We start from the raw sequence: 20471 nt of genomic DNA, 5'->3' as shown, positions 1-20471 counted from the left end.
TGTCTTGCCTCACTTTGGTAGACAATAATTTCTTTAGTTGTGCAGATTTGGTATTCAAAATACATGAATTTCTAAACTGTATGAGTAATATTAGTAGTTATCACACACTTTTTGGATATTTTGTTACAGATAAAGTAGTATCTAGCGGAAACAGGGACATAATTTGTATCTCCTTTGTTTCCTTTTTTTTTTTTTTAACTCTAATGATCTTATGCCACATTTGGAGGACGTGGCTGTATGCACCTTATCAGTGAACAGAAGCACAGGCGTTATCCTATAGGCTGATGGCAAAGTTCTACCTTCAGACTGGTCAGGTTCAGACTGTCCTTAATAGACAACTGATGCTGTTATCTAGATTGAGATAGAATTGTTTTTTAAAATATTTTTTATTGGAACTATAACACACAAAGTGTAAAGCTTGCTGAATCATCAGAAAATGAAAACATACATATAGCCAGCAGTCAAATTACAAAGTAGAACATTACCAGCACCCCCAAAGCCCACTTATGCTCACTTGAGTCAGTATCCTTCCTCCTTGTAGATTAAGTTATAATATCATGAATTAGTTTTGTCTGCTTTTGAACTTCATAAAGTCTATACTGTAGTACGTAGTATTGTGTGTAGGGCTTTTATTTAATATTTTACAAGATTCATTCTTGTTACTACTGGATAGTGTTGCATTGTATGAATGTATCACAATGTATTCATTTTGCTGATGAAGGATATTAAGGTTATTTACAGTTTGGGGCTGTTATGAATAATGCTGCTATGAGCATTTATGGATGTCTTTTGGTGAATATATGTATGCATTTCTGTGGAAATGCATGTTTTGCTAGGTCATAGGGAGACCTATTTCAATTTTAGTAGGTACTGCCAATTTTCCAATGTGGTTGTACAAATTCCACCCCCATTTAGAAGTGTCTGAAGAGTTGCACTTGCTCCACATCCTGGTCAACATCTGATATTATTGGACTTTTAAATTTTGGCTTTTCTAAGTAGGTGTAGAGTATTATTATTTCATTTTAATGATACATCATTATAAATGATGCATCATTGTAATAATGTAACATTACATCTAATGATGTATCATTAGTATCATTTTATTTCCTGTGTCTTTTCATATGTTTATTGGCCATTGGGTTATCCTCTTCTGCAAAGTGTTGATTCAAGTCTTTTGTCCATTTTTCTTTTGGGTTCTTGTCCTCCTTATGGATTTGTGGGAATTCTTTGTATAATGTCGATATGATTTCTTTGTTGGTTGTATGTATTACAAATATATTCTCCTGCTCCGTGGATTTTCTTTTTTAATCTTTTTCTTTTTTTTTTCCTTTTAGAGACAGGGTCTTGTTCAATTGCCCAGGCTGGAGTGCAGTGGTGCGATCATGGCTCACTATGACCTCAAACATCTGGGCTCAAATGATCCTTCCACACCAGCTTCCTGAGTAACTGGGACCATAGGTGTGTGCTACCACACCTGAATATTTTAAAATTTTTTGGAGAGACAGGAGTCTTACTATGTTGCCCAGGCTGGTCTCAAACTCCTGGGCTCAAGCAATCCTCCCACCTTGGCCTCCCAAAGTGCTGGCATTATAGGCGTGAGCCACCATGCCTAGCCTTTATCTGTAGATTCTAAAAAGATTTTTTTTTTTGTGTACACGATTGTGTTGTGTGTAAATAACGACAGTCTTATTTCTCCTTTTCCAATTCCTGTAGCTTTTATTTCTTTTCCTTGACTTGTTGCACTGAACAAGGTCTCTAGTACAAAGTTGAATAAAAGTGGTAACAGCAAGTATCCTTGACTCATTCCTAATTCTGTATTTTACTCTGAAGTATGATGTTTGCTATAGTTTTTCGTAGCTAATAATCCTTATCAAAGTAAGGAAGTTTCTATTGTTAGTTTGCTGAGGTTTTTTTTTTCATAAATAGATTTTGAATTTTATCAAGTATTTTTACTGTGTTTATTGAGATGATCATATTTGTTCAGTTAATATGGTGATTTTTGAATGTTAAATCAACCTCGAATACCTTTTATAAATTCAACATAGTAAAGCTGTTTTATTCTTTTTGGACATTGGTGGATTCAGATTGCTAATATTTAGTTTAGGAGTTTTTACATCTGTGTTCATGAGATTGGCCTGTTACTTTCCTTCTGAATTGGATCTTGTCAGATTTTGAAGTCAGGGATTTGCTGGCCAGGACTGTGGAATATGTGGAGAGCTTTGAAAGTGTATACAAGAATGGTACTATTTTTTCCTTAAATACTTGGTAGAATTCACTAATGAAGCTATTTGAGCATTGTTTTTTCTTTGTGGCATGGTTTAAAATTACAAATTCAATTTCTTTACTAGATATAGAACTACTCAGATTTTACATTTCTCCTTGTGTTAGTTTTGGTAAGTAGTTTTCCTTTTTTGTAAAAGTAGGAATATTTTTAAAATATAATATCTATTCCATCTAAACTTTCAAATCTATTGGTATAAAGTTATTCATAATATCTTTGTATTATATTTTGAATATCTTGGGGTTTGTAGATTTTTTTTCATCTTTCATATTGGTAATTTATGCCTTTTCTTTTTCTTGCTAAGTCTTGCTAGGCTTAATCAATTTTATTAGTTTAGCTAGAATAAAATACTCAGCTTTGTTGATCTGGACTGTGTGTTTGAGTTTTCTATTTCACTAATATCTAATCTGTACTGCTTCTTTATTTCAGCTTACTTTGCTGTTTTCAAACTTCTTGAAATGAACGTTAGATAATTGATCTTTTTGCTTTTTTTTTTTTATTTTTTGAGATGGAGTCTAGCTCTCTCGCCAAGCTGGAGTTCAGTGGCACGGTCTTGGCTCACTGCAACCTCCACCTCCCAGGTTCAAGCGATTCTCCTGGCTCAGTCTCCCGAGTAGCTGGGATTACAGGCATGCGCCACCACACCTGGCTAATTTTTTGGTATTTTTAGTAGAGATGGGGTTTTACCATGTTGGTCAGGCTGGTCTCGAACTCCTGATCTCAGGTGATCCAACCACCTCAGCCTCCCAAAGTGCTGGGATTATAATTGATCTTAAGCCTTTCTTCTTTTTGCATCTATGTATTTAAAGCTGTATGTACATTTCCCTCTAATCATGGCTTTAGCTCAGTATCATCTCACAAGTTTGATATTTTTATTATTTAATAAATAAGTTTTCTAGCTTCCATTGTCATTTCTTCCTTAACCTGTGGTTTCTTTTAGAAGTACATTGCTTATATTGGGGCTCAAGCAATCCTCCTGCTTCAGTTTCCTGACTACCTGGGACTACAGGCACGTGCCACCATGCCTGGCTAATTTTTGTATTTTTTGTAGAGATGGGGCTTTGTCATTTTGCCCAGGCTGGTCTTAAACTCCTGAGCTCAAGTAATCTGCCAGTCTTGGCCTCCCAAAGTGTTAGGATTACAGGCATAAGCTACCGTGCTCAGCCTTATTTCACCTTTAAATATGAATGAATAACCAAAGGTGACCAGATGTTTGAGGAAATGTCCATTACAAAAGAGAAAATGATGAATAAATAGAACAATAACACTGAAGGAAACAGAGATAAGTAATAAGCTAGAAAATAAAAAATAATCTTAATTAGTATCCTTAAGGAGATTAAAGCAGTTTTTGCATCCTTGAAACAAAAACAGAATGCTAAGAAAAAGTATCAGAGAACACACTAGAGCTCTTAGAATAAACATAAATGCCAAAAGAAAAAAAAAGAAAACAACACAAAAGTTGAAAAATAAAGCCCAGGAAGTATTCCAGAAAGTAGAACAAATGAGAGAAGTAGAAAATATGGAAGAAAAGGCCAGGTGTGATGGCTCACGTCTGTAATCTCAGCACTTTGGGAGGCCGAGGTGGGAGGATCACCTGAGGTCAGGAGTTCGAGACCAGCCTGGCCAACATGGTGAAACCCCATCTCTACTAAATACAAAAAATTAGCAGGGTATGGTGGCGCATGTCTGTAATCTCAGCTACTTGGGAGGCTGTGGCAGAAGAATTGCTTGAACCCAGGAGGCGGAGGTTGCAGTGAGCGGAGATTGCACCATTGCACTCCAGCCTGGGCAACAAGAGTGAAACTCCGTCTCAAAAAAAAGAAAGTATGGAAGAAAAAAGGGTTCTCAAAAACGTCTTTATCTTAGGGACTATAGGTAAAATAGCTTTATTTGCTTTTCATCCTTCCAGTTCACTTTACTGGCATATTCTCACTAGAACATATTTTTTGGCTTTATTGAGACCCACTCATCAGATAATTTTTCCCTCAACATTTACCCCAATATCTCATTTTCCCCATACCGGTTTAGATTCTATGGCCAATCACTATAATCTTTCCTTTGCAAACACCTTTAATGCCTGTGTCCTTGCTTTTCATCTTACACACCTGGAAAACCCAAGCCCTGATTATACTTTATTCTCTGCATCTGCTCCAGAATGGCTGCTCCTAGCTCAAGAAAAGTAAAAACAATTGTGCTAACTGGCTTCTCATTAAATTCGTAATTACTATTTTCAAATGGGCTCTCAAAATTCCTCGGCGATCCTATAGTTCCTTCCATAATCTACTCGGCCATTCTTGAAGACAACCATTACTACCTTCCTTCTTTTCAAATCTCCAATACTTCCCATATACAGCCACGCTAATGTCTTTGCTTCATACGTCACTGAGAAAATGGAAGGAATCAGATGGAAACCCCCTAATCTTCCCACCACTAAATCTACCAATTACCTGCAAGTCTATCTATTCTCTGCTTTCTCTCATTACAGTGGAAGCCAGTCCTCCATTTGTGCTCCGAATCTCACCCACCTTGCCTTCTCAAGGATTCCTCTGTTATTGACAATTGCTGCTGCCGCCATCACCACTCCCTCCCACTTTACCAGCTTATTCTCATCAGTGCACGAATATGATTTAATTGCTCCCATTATAGAACAAAACTAAGCAAACTCTCTCTTGACCCTTCCAGCTACCAGTACTTCTGCTCCTCTTCAAGGCAAAAAAAAATTTTTTTTTTGAGATGGGGTCTTGCTCTGTTGCCAAGGCTGGAGAGCAGTGGTGTGATCTTGGCTCACTGCAACCTCTGCCTCCCGGGTTCAAGCGATTCTCATGCCTCAGCCTCCCAAGTAGCTTGGACTACAGGCACCCTCCGTGGAGCCTGGCTAATTTTTGTATATTTAGTAGAGACAGGGTTTCACCCTGAGACAGGCTGGTCTCAAACTCCTGACCTCAGGTGATCCTCCCACCTTGGCCTCCCAAAGTGGTGGGATTTTAGGTGTAAGCCACTATGCCCGGCCCAAGGCAAAATTTCTTGAAAGAGCTGTTATCTCTACTCTTTTTCCTTAAGTCATTCCAATCAGGCTATTTCCACCAATCCACTGAAACTAGTACTGAAGTCATCAGTGGCTTTCATCTTCCAATGGGTCTCAGATCCTTCCCATCTTGACTGATAGTGGCAACTGATACAGCTAATTGGCCCCTTTGGTGTAATGCTCCCATCTTTGCTTCCATGATGCCACTCTCTCCTGGTTTCCCTCCTACCTGATTGTTTACTCCTTCCAACTCCTTCAGTAGTTCCCCTTGCTCTGCTTAATCTCCAAGTATGTGAGTGTCTCAGAGTTGATTTGAATCCTCTTCTCCACTGTTACTTTCTCCCCAGGCCATCTCACCTAGTTCCACGGGTTTATCAAAATACTGATGACTCCATAATCTTCAGTCCTGTCTGTCTTGAGATCTGGATGTGGCTAACTTCTTACTTGACATTTCCACAGGCAACTCCCAGACATCTTAAAGTTAATACATCTAAGACAAAATTGTTCTTTACTTCACTTTGTAACTATTGTCATCACCTATTGTTATTCATGCCAAAAATCTAGGTGACGTCCTTGGTTTTTCCTTTCCCTTCACTCTTCATATCCAATCTATCATGCCCATCTACTTCTACAGTGTATCTCAAATCTGCCCTATTCCTTCCACTTTCGTGTAAGCCATCATCTCTTGCCTGGACTACTGTATTCGCTTCTGCCTTCAGCCTCTACTCTTGACCTTCTGCAACATATTCTTATATAGCAGAAGTATATCTAGCCATGATATGAATTGGATCAATCATTTCACTACTTGAACTATTCAAAGACTTCCCTTTCTAACTTCTAACCATAGTGTACAAGGTGCTATATGATCCAGCTACATGCCTCTCTCCAATCTCATGTTCTGATACTGTCTCACTCTAGCCACATTTTTTTTTCAGTTCCTTGAACACAGCACAATTTTTCACCTTGTGATCTATGCACACACTGCCTTTTTCCCCCTCTTCTTAATTTCACATGGTTAAAGCCTATTCTTCCTAGTTATCAAATAAAATGTCACCTCAGCAAAGCCTTCCAAAGTAAACCATAATCACCTTAATTAGAGTAAATCCTCCTTAGTCCTTCTCTCTCAACCTATTTGTTTCCTTGCCTGCTTGCAAGCTCTGTAAGTAGGCTGTGTTGGTCTTATTCCCTCTATCCCTATGCCTAGCATAAAATAGGTACTCCATAAATATATGGTGAATGATGAATTACTTGACCATCTTTAGAAAAAAAAATGGCTTCTCTGCATTTACAAATCCCTTGGTAAACTTGGTGAGGCTTGTTGATCAGGGGTGCTGCCAGAGAGCCAGATATGAATATAAGCTCAGCCTAGCTTTTTAGGCCACACATAGATGGGACACTCTTTATCTGTGCTCTTATTTAGCCCACATTTTCTACCTCAGATATAAACAAGGACATTATGAGAAACAGTCAAATACTTGCTGAGGTCAAGATGCACAATACTACACCAGCCTCCTGACCGATATATAATAGCTCTATCGAAAGAACATTGGATTAGTTTGACACGTGGTCTTAGCAAACTCAAGTATGAGTTTGGGGGACTTTCAGGGATGTCTAATTATGCTCACAAACCATCCTTTTAATCTAGTCGACAATCTTGCATGGAATTGGCATCAAGCTCAATAATTCATTAATTCAATGTTTGTTGAGTACCTAGCATATAAAAGGCATTCTTTACTGAAAAGACACTGGTTGAAATGAATAGACATCATTTCCTCTTACGGAGATGAGACTAGTGAGAAAAAGAGACCAAAACAAAACAAGAAAATGAGTACTGGTAGAAGTAATCATAAACAAGAAAATCCAAGGTGATATGAGGGAATTACAGGGGGTTACTTTAGATTGGGTGGTCAGAAAAGGCCCACCTGAAGAGCCTATTCAGATTGAAAATCAAATGGTAATCCATATTTTGTAAAATCTATTGGCTTCTCATTTTTGAAAATCACATTTGCCCAGCTCTAGTCTTCTGTCGCCTCTCCATGATTTCTTGAGGATAATAATTACATTACAATGCCATAAGGGTTTGAGTAGTATGGCAAAGAAAACAAAATGGTCTCCACATTTGATATGTAGCATTTATCCCCTAAGATCTGAACACATTTATAGCTTTAGCAAGAAACCTAGATTCTAACTTTTTTCATTATTGGTCAATGGTTAACTGAAGAGGTTCTTTTTAAAGATAACACTAGGAGCCAATTATTTTCAAGAAATGTCAATTCTGATTTTCCTTACTAGTATGAAAAGTTTGGTTGCAAGATTAAAGGAAGGAGCCAACACACTCAAACTACATATCAAAGGAAGCCAGTTACTCTTAGAATCAAATATATACGAACAGACATGAGTGAAGTTATAAAGGGTAAAATATTTTTCAGAAACCTAAATAAATTATGTAATGGAAAATTTTACGTTGACTACTCATTTTTATCACAAGTTTTGGTAAATAAAAAAAAACCTTGCTAATCTTTACTAGGTTAGAAACTCTAAAAGAGAGGTTAAAGTAGGCAAAAGTAACTATCAAAGTGGTTTCTGCCTGCTACTGCAATTTTTATCAATTATGCCTGGCGTGATAACCTATTTACTTACTGGAACATGAGATCTAACAAAAATATGGAGAAGAGGGTTATCCATGTTTATTCATGCTTTAGTTATTCAGTGATTTAAAAATTTTAACTCCACCCTGAACTTTTCATAATACTTTTGTCAAGTGAAGAATCATGAGGTTCATAAACTTGGAAACAAGAGCTTCCTTTCTCATAAAGGGTTGCAGCCTTCAGGCTGGCCATCCTGCAGGTTGGGAAGCGTAGCCTCTGGCAGAAGCCAGGAGCAAGCACTTTGAGGGAGGGGTAAAGGGAACAGGAATTGATATTGACTGGCGTGGCCATATACAACTTCAACAAGCTGTAGGAGAAGTCACGAATATTAATGAAAGGAGAAACATGCACATATAAGCTTCATGCCTCTTCATGGACAGCATGTTAAAAAAATGGCTACATTAACATGAGCCAAGGGTGGCATTTTTGGCCCTCTGACATCAAAAGGTGAAGCAGAGGACACAAAACCCCTCATTGCACATCCTCCTCAAGTGGGCCAAAACTTGTCTGGAGATGGTGGTCAGGTTCAAGGAAGGTATGCATTGTGAAATTGGTGAGCAGTCGCACTGAAACTGCAAAGAGGTGGCTGCAAAGAGGGAGGGGGCATCCAGTAGCAGACTCAGACTATTCGCTAAAGGCAATAAAGGAATAAGTTGTTGGTTTCTTGTTTTCCAGAGCTAGTTTCTGCGTCCTCCTTAGGAAAGAATTCTGGTTAAAGGTTAAGGAAGAGGCATACTGAGGTGTGTCTGACCTCCCATCCTGTCATGCTGGTACCTTAGTTTTGAAGGTTTCTCTGGGGTCCCCTTGGCCAAGAGGAGGTCTGTTCAGTTGGCTGGGGGGCTTAGGATTTTACTTTTATTTCCTACTCCCTAAGTGCTAAAGCACTTTCAGGTTTATTACTATGTAATTTCCATAAATAAAGTCCTGTGAGGAATAGAGAACACATTTTCATGCTCTTTGGGGGTAAGAAAAGAATTTGACAGAAAGGTGACCATATTTAGAAAATCCATATGAAAAATAAATTAGAAAACAATTTACATTATGAAAGTATTCACCTTTAAGTTTCATTATTTAATACATGATGGGAAGGCTTATGAACAGAGAAAGCTAAGAATTTAAAGAACTGTCAAGTAATGATCAGAAATGAAGATAAAGCATCTATGAAATCATAAAGTCAATGAGAAATTATTATATTTATATTACTCAGCAATGTACATTTTATAGAGAGATTATCTGTAACATTTCCAGCTTCATTGAAGATGCATGTCCTGAAAATATCTAAGGTTTAAAATGCCAACAATTAAGAAAGGGTTACTTTTCCAGGAGGGAAGCAGTTTGTTAAAATTATAAAAAGCAGATTACTATCAACAAATGACACCCTAAAAAGATCACTGACCAAGAATTTAATATACATAACACACAACACAAAATACCAGTTTATAAACTACATATATTTTACTACATTAAAGTCCCTCCAGAAATCTATTCATGCAATGATCTAACTGAAATAAATATGGTGGATTAGTCTGTAATGGAATAAAAGGAATTAAAATAGTAATATAGTTCTCCATGTAGATATGCGGGGGACAGAATTTCCCAGATTTATTGACGCCTCTCTGGAGAAAAGCAAACAGTTTACATTCCTCATAACACTGAACTGAAGATATTATTTATATACTATCAAAATAAAATATATTTGTTTTTGATGCAATATTAAGTTTATATTAACTGTTATGTACTTTATGATTGGTGTGGTCTTAACAGAGAATAGGATGTTTTAAGATTTTTCTTAAACATGCAAAGTAAACCACAAAAAAGACAATCAAAACAGTTTCCTGTACTTGGTTCTGAAGAGAAAATATGAATGATGAGATGTGCCACTTGGAGACTGTGATCACAGTGTAGGCTCACACACAAAATGCATACAGAACACATTCTTACGCAGTATGAAAATTGTCTAAAATTCAATTTTTTTACCAATATGCAGAAACTTACCTGATACATTATTTTTGATTAGTAGTTTGTCTCTATTATTATTTTTTTTTTTTGAGATGTAGTCTCACTCTCGCCCAGGCTAGAGTGCAGTGGCACGATCTTGGCTCACTGCAACCTCCACTCCCTGGGTTCAAGTGATTCTCCTGCCTCAGACTCCAGAGTAGCTGGGATTACAGGTGTGCGCCACCATACCCGGCTAATTTTGTATTTTTAGTAGAGACGGTTTCACCATGTTGGTCAGGCTAGTCTTGAACTCCCGGCCTCAAGTGATCTTCCCGCCTCAGCCTCCCAAAGTGCTGGTATTACAGGCATGAGCCACCGTGCCCGGCCAGTCTCTATTTCTTTTTAATGTACTGAAAAAAATAGTATCAAAACTAAGCACACTGTAAAGTTACAGTAGAACTTTGAAATAGATGTCTACTCATACAAAAGGCTAAATTTATTTTGTAGTTTTCTTGTAAGAGAATTAACATCCAACCTTGAAGGTTGAATTTTGTTACCTGGCTAATCTGGAGTATTTCATGAATTATGAATTAGAATTGCTACTTACAAAGCTTTTTTTTTTGTTTTTGAGATGGAGTCTTGCTCTGTGGACCAGGCTGGAGTGCAGTGGTGCAATAGCGGCCCACTGCAATCTCCGCTTCCCAGGTTCAAACGATTCTCCTGTCTCAGCCTCCCGAGTAGCAGGGATTACAGGCCCACGTCACCACGCCTGGCTAATTTTTGTATTTTTAGAGGCGGGGTTTCACCACGTTGGCCAGGCTGGTCTTGAACTACTGACCTCAAGTGATTCGTCACCTTGGCCTCCCAAAGTGCTGAGATTACAGGCGTGAGCCACAGCGCACAGTCCAAAGCTCTTTAAGTGTAACATTGAAGAGCTAAAGTGTAACTTTCTTTAATGAACTGAAAAAATTAGTACAATCTTTACACAAAGAATAGTTAAGAAAATATAACCAGCACAGAATGTTAGCTGTAGTTAGCTACTGCAGTTCAAAGATCAGCAGGGTAGTAACTACAGAAAGTTACATCCTTGGAGTTCAAATAATGGTCCAAAATAGGTTGTCTTGAAAAATGGGATGATGAAAAGACAATTCAATACATCCTGATCTCACCTCTCTAAATTTTAAGAGAGACTATTTGAGCCAACTTTTTAAAAACAAGAATGTGATAGCACCTTGACTTGAGACCCCCATTAGAATTATAGTGTATAGTAGTGACATATCCTATAGTAGTGACATATCCTAAAAGCTATGGATAATGAGGATGGCATGACTTAAATTACTCACAATTTCGTTCAGGTTGAAAATCAATTTGATGTTTAGCAAAATAATCTCTCTAAAGGGGTGAATAATGCAAACCAATGAAGGTCATAGACACCTATGTATAGAGATAGATACTGCCATCATTCAAGCACTGTTCTTGGAAGAATTCAGCTAAATTAGTAATTATGGCACTTCTGGATTTCTGAAAAAATTTAATCTCTGGATTACTCTGGAAACACAGGTATAATTTCAAATTAGCTTTTCATTACTTTGCAAACTTAGTTTTTCATTAAGTTGAACACTTAAAAACTTGTACCGTAAGTTTACTTCTGTTTAAAAGGAATGAGTATGGGAGTTTTATGCCCTATTTTGGACTCAGTCCAAATCTCAGTCTCAATGATTAGTGTCTGTCTTGTCTGTAAAGACAAGACATATTTTACTAAAAACAAACAAACAAACAAAAAACAAAACCACAATGTGAAATCTTAATGATATTAAAATATTTAAGAAAAGAGACTCTCACTTGAAATACACTGTGAATCTTGCCTACTATTGCCTTTAAAAAAACATTAGCACTTAAATAAATATATTCATTAATTAAGAAAAATGTTCACAATAAAAATACATTCTACCCATTCACCTGATAACAAACATACACATATTCTACTATAGTTTGAAGCAAATCAGAGTTTAAACATTTTTCTTCCAGGTACCTCTGAAATGTATTAGTTTTATAGCAACATGGTCCCCTTTTAGTAAAAATAAACCAAAATAGGTAAATTTATATAAATTATATTTACAAAATATTAGTATATTCTCATGAATATAGGCTTTTCTCATTTTTTTGCTTAATAGAAAGTATAGTGTTTCAAAACGAAAGTAAAATGCATAGCCCAAACCAAATCAAAAACATATGCAAAAACATTTTATTTATAATAGATCAACATTTTTGACATGAAAGGTAGCCACTTTCAATTTCTCAGGAATGCCTAGAACCCAACAGTTTTCAGAAAGACTACTTAGTTCACAATTATTTCACTGTAGGTAAATGAAATAATTTCAGAATGAACTTTTTAAATGGCTTTGCCTATGGCAAATTGTTTTATAAACTTGAATGTATGGTAAGCTAGCTTTCCCAGGAAATGAATGTAATCCAACTATGTTCCAAATGTATTAAACCAGTTTATACAACAAATATGAGAATCACTTATGTGCATCAACTGTGCTAAAACAAGAATTCTTTTTATCAAAATATTCATTTTTCAAAAAGGCCTCACATTAACCCCTCAAACCAAGCACCCCCTTCCTATGTCCAGCACTCTTTTCTACTTCGAGTTGCATGACTGTAGAGACAACTGTCAAATTCCAGTGGAACTGTACACTGACTTAAGACTCTATGTAATATACATCAAACACAGGAGGTCACTGACTTTAAGGGACGAGGTGATAACTAACTAGTTATAATTCAGCCAATGTCTTTTTTAGTTTAGAGGGAAAAAAGTAGCCCCCAAGTGTCCTTAACTTTTCAGTACTTCTCTGTAACACACAGAATGAAAAGGTACTCTCTAAAATTAAAATCATTAGAAAATATCTTAAATAAAGTGTTTTACATAAATAAGTGTTAAATTTCAGATTCAAACTATATTTTCTTCTGTATCTCAATTTGGGAAAAATCTCACAATTATTAACTCTTCTCAGTTACATTTATTTTTGAGCATTTAAATCTACTATACACCAGTTTGTAAAATTCACCTTGGTTACCTCTCCCCATGCCTATGTGCTGTCTTTCCTCAGGTAAGTCCATTATATGCATCTAAGTGCTGGGGAGGTTTAAATAGCACTTAAAGAATATTCATGAGAGTTCTGAAATGAAGGTTTCGTCTTTAGCTATTGACTGTAGGATTTGTAATTCAAATCATCACAGCATCCTAAAGAAATACTGTGTGAATGGAATGCACACAATTCCTACAGAACACACAAACTGATGTCCAAAAGGCACAGAGTAATGCTGGTGGCTCTTTCTAGTCAGTTAAGAAACAATAAAAAGTCTGCATTATTCTTTCATAATTTAAATACTTAAGTAATCTCCACTTTATTATTTTATAACAATGACTTCAAATTTACATTATTTTAAGTACCATTGTAATAGCTTAGTGTATAATACAGATATTTGCGAATATCCCATCCAAAAATTAAAAAAAACTTCTTCACTATATATATATTTATATAAAAATTATTCTGAAAGACAAGAACATAGACAAGGGACTTGGTACAGACCATCAACTCAATTTTCTATCACCACAGTTGTAACTCCAAAATCAACAAATATACAGCAGTAATTAAAAGCAGTGCAAATATCTTTGGAGGTTAGGATAAAATTATAATGCAAGAACATAAAACTGAGGAAACAAAAAAGGCAAGTACTTCAAGTACAAGGAACCAGTCGGCTTGAGGTCCATCTTAGTGTTTACTGGGGGCTTCTTTCCTGCTTCTACTTCTTTCTCTGAAATACATTGGCCAACATGGCACCTGATGTTGTCAACTGGCCCATTTTGTTCAAAAACTTGGTCTTTGTATCTTCACTCACTAAGCTTGCAGCAATTGACATTGAGCTAGGAAAGAAAATTTAAAATTCATGTAAAGCAATTAAAAAAATAAAAATTTTTCATTTATTTAGTAGCATATCATTAACGAACACACTCTGAATTGGCGTCACAAAAGGGAAACTAATATTTATGGAGGGTAGTTTGTATATGCCATACTAGGTTAGGAGCTTTCATGTTCATTATCTATAGTAAAGGAAGCAGTATGTGTAGTGGTTAGGAACAAGTCTGGGACTGGACTGAATCTTGGCTCTGTTTACCAGCTCGGGTAAATTATTTAATCTCATCTGTAAAACGAGGATGATTCTAGTATTTGCCTCCTAGGGTTATTAGGATTATATTAACACAACTGTAAAGTGCTCAGTATAGTGCTAGGCACATAATAGCATGATGTAATTGTTAGTAGTTATTCTTTATCACTTCATTTAATTCTTACAGCAATCCTGGAAGATAAATATTATCAGTATTTTCACAAATGAGTAAATTAAATTGCAATGAAGTTTTGTGCTGTGCTGATAATAATCCTATGGTATATTCCTTTTTAGGGGGATATTCCTTTTTTGGGGGATGTCCTGAATTGCCAGTTGCATTGATTTCAATCAACAGTTTCGAGTCCATTTCTTCTTTCTTTTTCACCAACCTGCTCTGTAGGGAATAAACACAATCTAAATGACCTCTAAAGATTGCTAATTTATCATAGTACTGAACAGAAACAGAATACTGATCAAGCACAATTTTTCAATGACCTGACAACTGTCCTGTAATAGACTTGGAATCTAGTTTATTGCCTTGTGCCTTTGGCCAACATGCTTTAGCTCTCTCTGACTCAGTTTCCTCATCTGTAAAACACAGCTTGCAATTTCTGTTGTAAAATATTCTGAGGATTAAGTAAGATAATGTGTTTGAACATGTCAAAGACAACGTGTGGCAAGCTGCAGGTGCTCAACATGTCTGTTGAATCTACTGCATGAGGTGTGTGCTGCCACGGAGCACACCTGGGTCTATGTAGTCTATAAGGGTGTGCACTGTGAATTACTCAAGTTAAAAACCAAACCAGAACTCCCACCTTGAAAAGCTTCTCCACATTGCTCTTCTGACAGTACAACAGTGGGTTCTCTTTCCTGCTGCTTCTCTTCCCACAAAGTAATCTTCCCTAAGGTTCAGTATTTGGCTCTTGATTCTTCAATTATAAAACTTACTCTCCAAGTTTCAAATTGAATCGCATCCCTTTTCCTGAGGGTCAGTCCCACATTACTATTATTTGCTAGATAAAGCCAACATCTCAAGCTTCTGTTCACGCCCTAACTTTAGAAATAACTCTCCATTTTAACTCCCCCCTCTTTTTGCCAGTGGTTCTACTATTTTCCTCTCTTTCTAACAGTGAATTTAATAGCTCCTTCTACTTCTATTTCAAACCAATCACAAGTCCTGTGACCTTATTCTTTGAAGCATCTCCTCTACTGTTTCTTTTTACTTCCATGGCTAATACTTCACAACTCAGTGATTCCAACAGTCTTCCATCTTTAATTACCAGATTAACTTCTAAAAGTCACTTCTTGATATCACATCTTAGCTCAAAAATCTTTAATGCTTACATACCACCTACAAGATGAAATGTGCTTTGCATTCAGGAAATGTAGCAATCTATTTCTTGTTTTTCCATACCACTGTCACTGACTGTCTCTTTGACCCCCTTCAGTCAGGTTTGTCCAGTCTATTGTTCAACCACTCTCAAATCTTTCTATCCACTGCCTACCCATCTTTCAAAGCCCAGCTGAAGTCCTATGGTGCCTTTCCTTAACATTCTAGCTTTTCAGTGCTCTTCCTTTCTTTAGAAAACTCAGTGTAAGTCAAAAGATAAGTATGATTTAAATTTACATCTAGAAAAAGGGGATGTATGGGTCAGACCATAGTTGAGATACCAAGTTTTAATGATATTCTAAGAGGAGGCCAACCATGATGTTAAGGAGTCTGGAAACTATAAGAGGTAAAAATGAAAGGAATGAAGAATATTTGGCTTGAAGAAGATTTAGGTGACTTAACCAATACCTGCATACATCATATGTGAAAAACTGGATATATAATGTATATCTGCAGGGGTGTATATATCTGCGTAGGTCTACTGATACACATCATAGTCACCTGGAAAACTTCTGAAAATGCAGATCCCTAGGCCTAATCCAGTACTTCTGATTCTTTCCATCTGAGGTAGGAGGCCCAGGTCTATACTACAAAGCTTTTCAGTTAAAAAAAAAAAATCATTGCATTACAGCAATTCCGCCCCCACCCCAAGACACAGTGTAAATTTTTATCAGTTTTATAAAGGGGTTTGTAACACTCTCCCACCCCTCTACCAGATGATAAAGACTTGTTTTAGAGGGCCTAGGCATTTTGGAAAGGGAGATTTTAATCCAGGAAAAGATAATTTTTTAAAAAGAGTTATTAAAATGAAATGGGCTACCTTGTAATGTGTATCCTCACTGGAAGTTTTCAAGCAAATCTCAGATCTTTTCTTTGCAACTAATATCCCTATCTTCTTTAAAACTATTCATGTCCTATATTACTTATCTCTTTTCTTCTCTTTAAAATCTCCATTTGGGCCAGGCACAGCGGCTCACAGCTGTAATCCCAGCACTTTGGGAGGTCAAGACGGGTAGATCACTTGAGGTCAGGAGTTTGAGACCAGCCTGGCCGACATGGTGAAACCCCCTCTCTAGTAAAAATACATTAATTAGCTGGGCATGATGGTGCACGCCTGTAATCCCAGCTACTCGGGAGGGAGGCTAAGGCAGGAGAATTGCTTAAACCTGGGAGGCGGAGGTTGCAGTGAGCCGAGATGGTGCCACTGCACTCCAGCCTGGGAGACAGAGTGAGACTCTATCTTGAAAAAAACAAAAACAAAAACAAAAATAAAATCTCCACTTGATTTCTAACACCATTCTGGTTTGCCTTCTATTTCTCAGTTAAGTTCTTCCATATGCATCTGAAATGTTGGTGTCTAATTCCATGCCTGGTCACCTTCTCCCCATCAGAGCCCCCTTTTCAAGTGATATCATTTATCTACCACTGCTCCAACCATAAGCCTTTAATTACCACCCATATGCTGCTAATGGTTCTTAAATCTCAATGAACTGCCTATAGTGTTTCTCTACCTGTGCCTCACATTTTAAATATTCCTCTTCAGAATAGTTCTTCCTATAGTTCCATTTTGTTGTATTTTATCATCATCCGTTTAAATGTTCAGATCAGAAATGTAGGAATCTTTTGATTCTGTTCTCCTTCACTCTTAATCAGCTGCCAAGTTAAATTGAGTTCACATCTGAAATACGGATCTCAAATCCATCTTCTCATATTCACTGCCATACACTGGCATTATAACATGGTGGTTCAAGTCACGGTCTCAAGGACCGTAATGCCTGGGTTCTGGTTCCTCCACTTAGTAGCTAGGTGGCCTCTGAGCAACTTACCTGCCTCTCTGTCATCTGTAAAATGAGAATAGTAAAAGTATCTACTTTGTAGGCTTAGTATGACAATTATTAGCAAATATATGAAAAATGTTTAGAATGGTATCTGGTTCATAAGCATTACTTATTGTTACTTTCCCATCCAAGACCACACTTCATCTTATCATGGGTTCCTGTAACAGCTTTCTCATCTCTTCCACCCACTTCTCTATTCACTAGAGTCTGGTTCCTAAAGCAGTGATTCTCAAGGTGTGGTTCCTAGACCTGCAGCATTAGCACCACCTGGGAACTTGTTACCAATACAAATTCTCAGACTCCACTCCAATCTTCTGAATCAAAAACTCTGGGGATGGTACTCAGCAATTTCCAGGTGATTCTGATGGACACTAACGCTAGACAACCAAAGTTCCTAAGTATTGGCTACAGGTAGCAGGCCAAATCTAGCCTGCTGTTTTTATAAATAAAGTTTTACTGAAACACAACCATGCACATTTATTTACATATTGCCAAAGGCTGCTTTCCTGCTACAATAGCAGAGTCTAGCTCAGTAGCTGTGACAGAGATTGTATGGTCTCCAAAGTTTAAAATAATATTTACTATCTCTACAAAAAAGTTTGCCACCACCTGGCCTATAACATAAAGTCCAAATCTCCCAGTGTGGCACACAGAATTCTTTATTGTCTGGTGCCTGCCTACCTTTATATACTTATCTCTACCATTCTCCCACATGTACTCTGTACTCTAGCTTTACTTACAGTTCCCAAACACGCTCCTCTGTAACTTTTGTCATTTTGCACAGTGCTGATTTTTCTGCATGTAATCCTCTTTTGCTCTTCCTTTTTTCCTCCCTAGTCAGCCATTCATATCTGAAGACTCCTGTATTCCTTTATCCTTGGAACCATTTGCAGGCATTGTTTTAGTGTTTATCTTTATTTTTAACTGCTTCTTTTTCCCACTTTCAGCTGTGAATACCCCGAGGGAAGAGACTATGACTTGCTCAAGCTCATCTTTGTGAACAGCCCATGGTAAGCACTCTGAATTTTACTTACTGCTGAATGAATATAAGAAGGGTACCAAAATAGTTATGCATACATTTTCTGCCTGCAGATCAGTGCTTTTCAAACTTTTCTGACACAGATCCATAGTAAGTGCCACATTTTACATGATGACTTGTAGTACTTACACAGGTAACTGATGTTTCATAAGAAAGACTCATCTTTACCACTTGGGATGTACTCTCCATTTGATTCTATTTCTCGGGATGAAATACGTGTCACAACCAATTGAATTAATTAAACAATGTACTAACGTCAATGATCTGCAGTTTGAAAAATACTGCTTTTAACCACAGGCTCTTTGAAGGTGAAATCCATATATGCAACATCTTTGTATTCCCCACAACAAAAGGCAGAGCTCTTCACAGATACAGATATCTTTATCTGCACCCACTCTTGCTTTTCCTTCCATCTTAGAAGCAGTTCCTTTCACTGCTTCAAGTAAAATACTTTCCTCTTGTGCTTTTGATCTACAATAGACTTCAGAGGAAGGGTGGGGTCAAGGAAGGCTTCCCTGAAGAGGCAACATCTAAGCTCTGTCCTGAAGGATGAGTAGGAACTAGCCAGGCAGAGTAAGAATACTCCTGGCAGACGGAATCATATGTGTAAAAACCTGAGGAGAACAGAAGCTTGCCGTGAATCTGATTAAGTCTCTAGATCTAGACCCAGCTACCAAATATACAAGAAATAGAGAAGAACATGTTAAAAGACAGAAGAGAAATGCAATCACCAAAATTCAGACTGTGGGAAACTCTATAGGACAAATGACTCAGTTTCTTCAATAAGTAAATTGTATGGAGAAAAAAGGAATAAAAGGGTGACATTCTATCTATGGATTGAAGGAGACAACATAGCAACCAACTACAATGTACAGAACTCATTTGGACCCTGACTCAAAGAAACAAACTAAGGAAGACAAACAACAAATCACTGACATTTATGAAACAAGGAGAAATTTGAACAAAAGCCAGACAGTTGATGATATTAAGTTGTTATTGTTATGTTGGTGTGATAATGATATTGTGTTTATGTTTTTTTAAATAATACTTATCTTTAAAAGATACATATCAGAGAATGGGAGGGAGAAGTAGGTCAGGTATGGATGAAATTGAAGCTGGGTTACAGTTATAACATGTATAGAAATTCATTATATTTTCAGTTTATTTTTGTGTTTGTTAGAAAAACCTGTAAAAAACCTCTATAAAAAACCACTAATAATATAGAAGATGTGAATGTGTCTATTGTTTTAATCCTCTGTGGTTAAAATGGATATATATGGAGAAGACTGCTTCCATTCTAAGAGGCTTTATAAAGTAAGGGTTCTAACACATCAAAGATATATGCGTGTTGCACATGGGGAATAGGGAGGAGCGTATGCGTGAGTGTGTGTGTGTTTCTAGACTGATAGGATGAAACACTTATTCCCAGTAGTTAGCCTTAAAAAAAGTACTTTTGAGCTTTTTATGTCTAATAGAGTCCACTTAAGATGCTCAAGGTTATTTCAGTAAGAGTACGTACAGCTCATTTGTAAATAACTCCCACTCCTGAAACTCCAACGTTATAATACTCTTTCACGTCTATGCTTATATTTTAATTTTACTGAATCCTTGGATTCCAATTAGTTTGATTAGAAGCATGTGACTAGAACATTCCCAAGTTGATAGTCCTTTATGCAGTACGTTGTTCATCTTACAACTCCTGTCACAAGTTTCTAGACATTCTTTTGACTGGTGAGTGAACAACCCAGCTACATAAAAGAATTTTGTTGGAAGCTTTTAAACATGCAGATCCCTAGGCTGACTGAGAATATTGAGAGAAGGCGCAGGGCATGGGGTGGAGACCTGAATTTTAAATTCCCCAGATAATTCTGATGAGATAGTTTATGGACCAGGATTTGAGAACCAATGACTTAAATCATTTTCTTGTCTTCCAAACAAAGGACTATAACGTAACACAAAATGACACATTACACTGATTGACAGCAAATTTAGATAGAAAAATTAAAGTTAACATGTAGCCTTAAAAAAAGAATTAATGTCTTACCCTTGAGGCTCTTGGACGGTCTTGTTTTCAACTTTTTGTTCACATTCTTTTATCATGGAACTTAAAATAACCTGATTAAAAAAATTTACCTTAGT

The 20471-nt window shown here is 36.9% G+C and overlaps 1 protein-coding gene across 22 annotated transcripts in view; it reads right to left on the bottom strand.

Annotated features, from left to right (window-relative positions):
- The window catches only part of RELCH (RAB11 binding and LisH domain, coiled-coil and HEAT repeat containing), a 122995-nt gene continuing 111511 nt past the window's right edge, over positions 8988 to 20471 (bottom strand). For 18 of the 22 annotated variants that reach the window (NR_144408.2, NR_144403.2, NR_144409.2 and 15 more), the window contains 2 exons: positions 20377 to 20447; positions 8988 to 13823 (listed from right to left, as the gene is read on the bottom strand). Coding sequence is in view for 13 of the 22 variants with exons in the window: in NM_001346235.2 (NP_001333164.1) it covers positions 13703 to 13823; positions 20377 to 20447 (192 nt within the window). In the remaining 9 variants the exon portion in view is untranslated. The remainder of the gene's footprint in view (positions 13824 to 20376; positions 20448 to 20471) is intronic. The other 4 variants (XM_011526112.3, XM_047437685.1, NM_001346234.2 and 1 more) reach the window with 1 other exon arrangement.

This window comes from Homo sapiens, chromosome 18 (genome assembly GCF_000001405.40).
Source record: "Homo sapiens chromosome 18, GRCh38.p14 Primary Assembly".
NCBI classification, from domain to species: Eukaryota; Metazoa; Chordata; class Mammalia; order Primates; family Hominidae; genus Homo; species Homo sapiens.
This window is presented reverse-complemented; position numbering and strand designations above follow the sequence as displayed.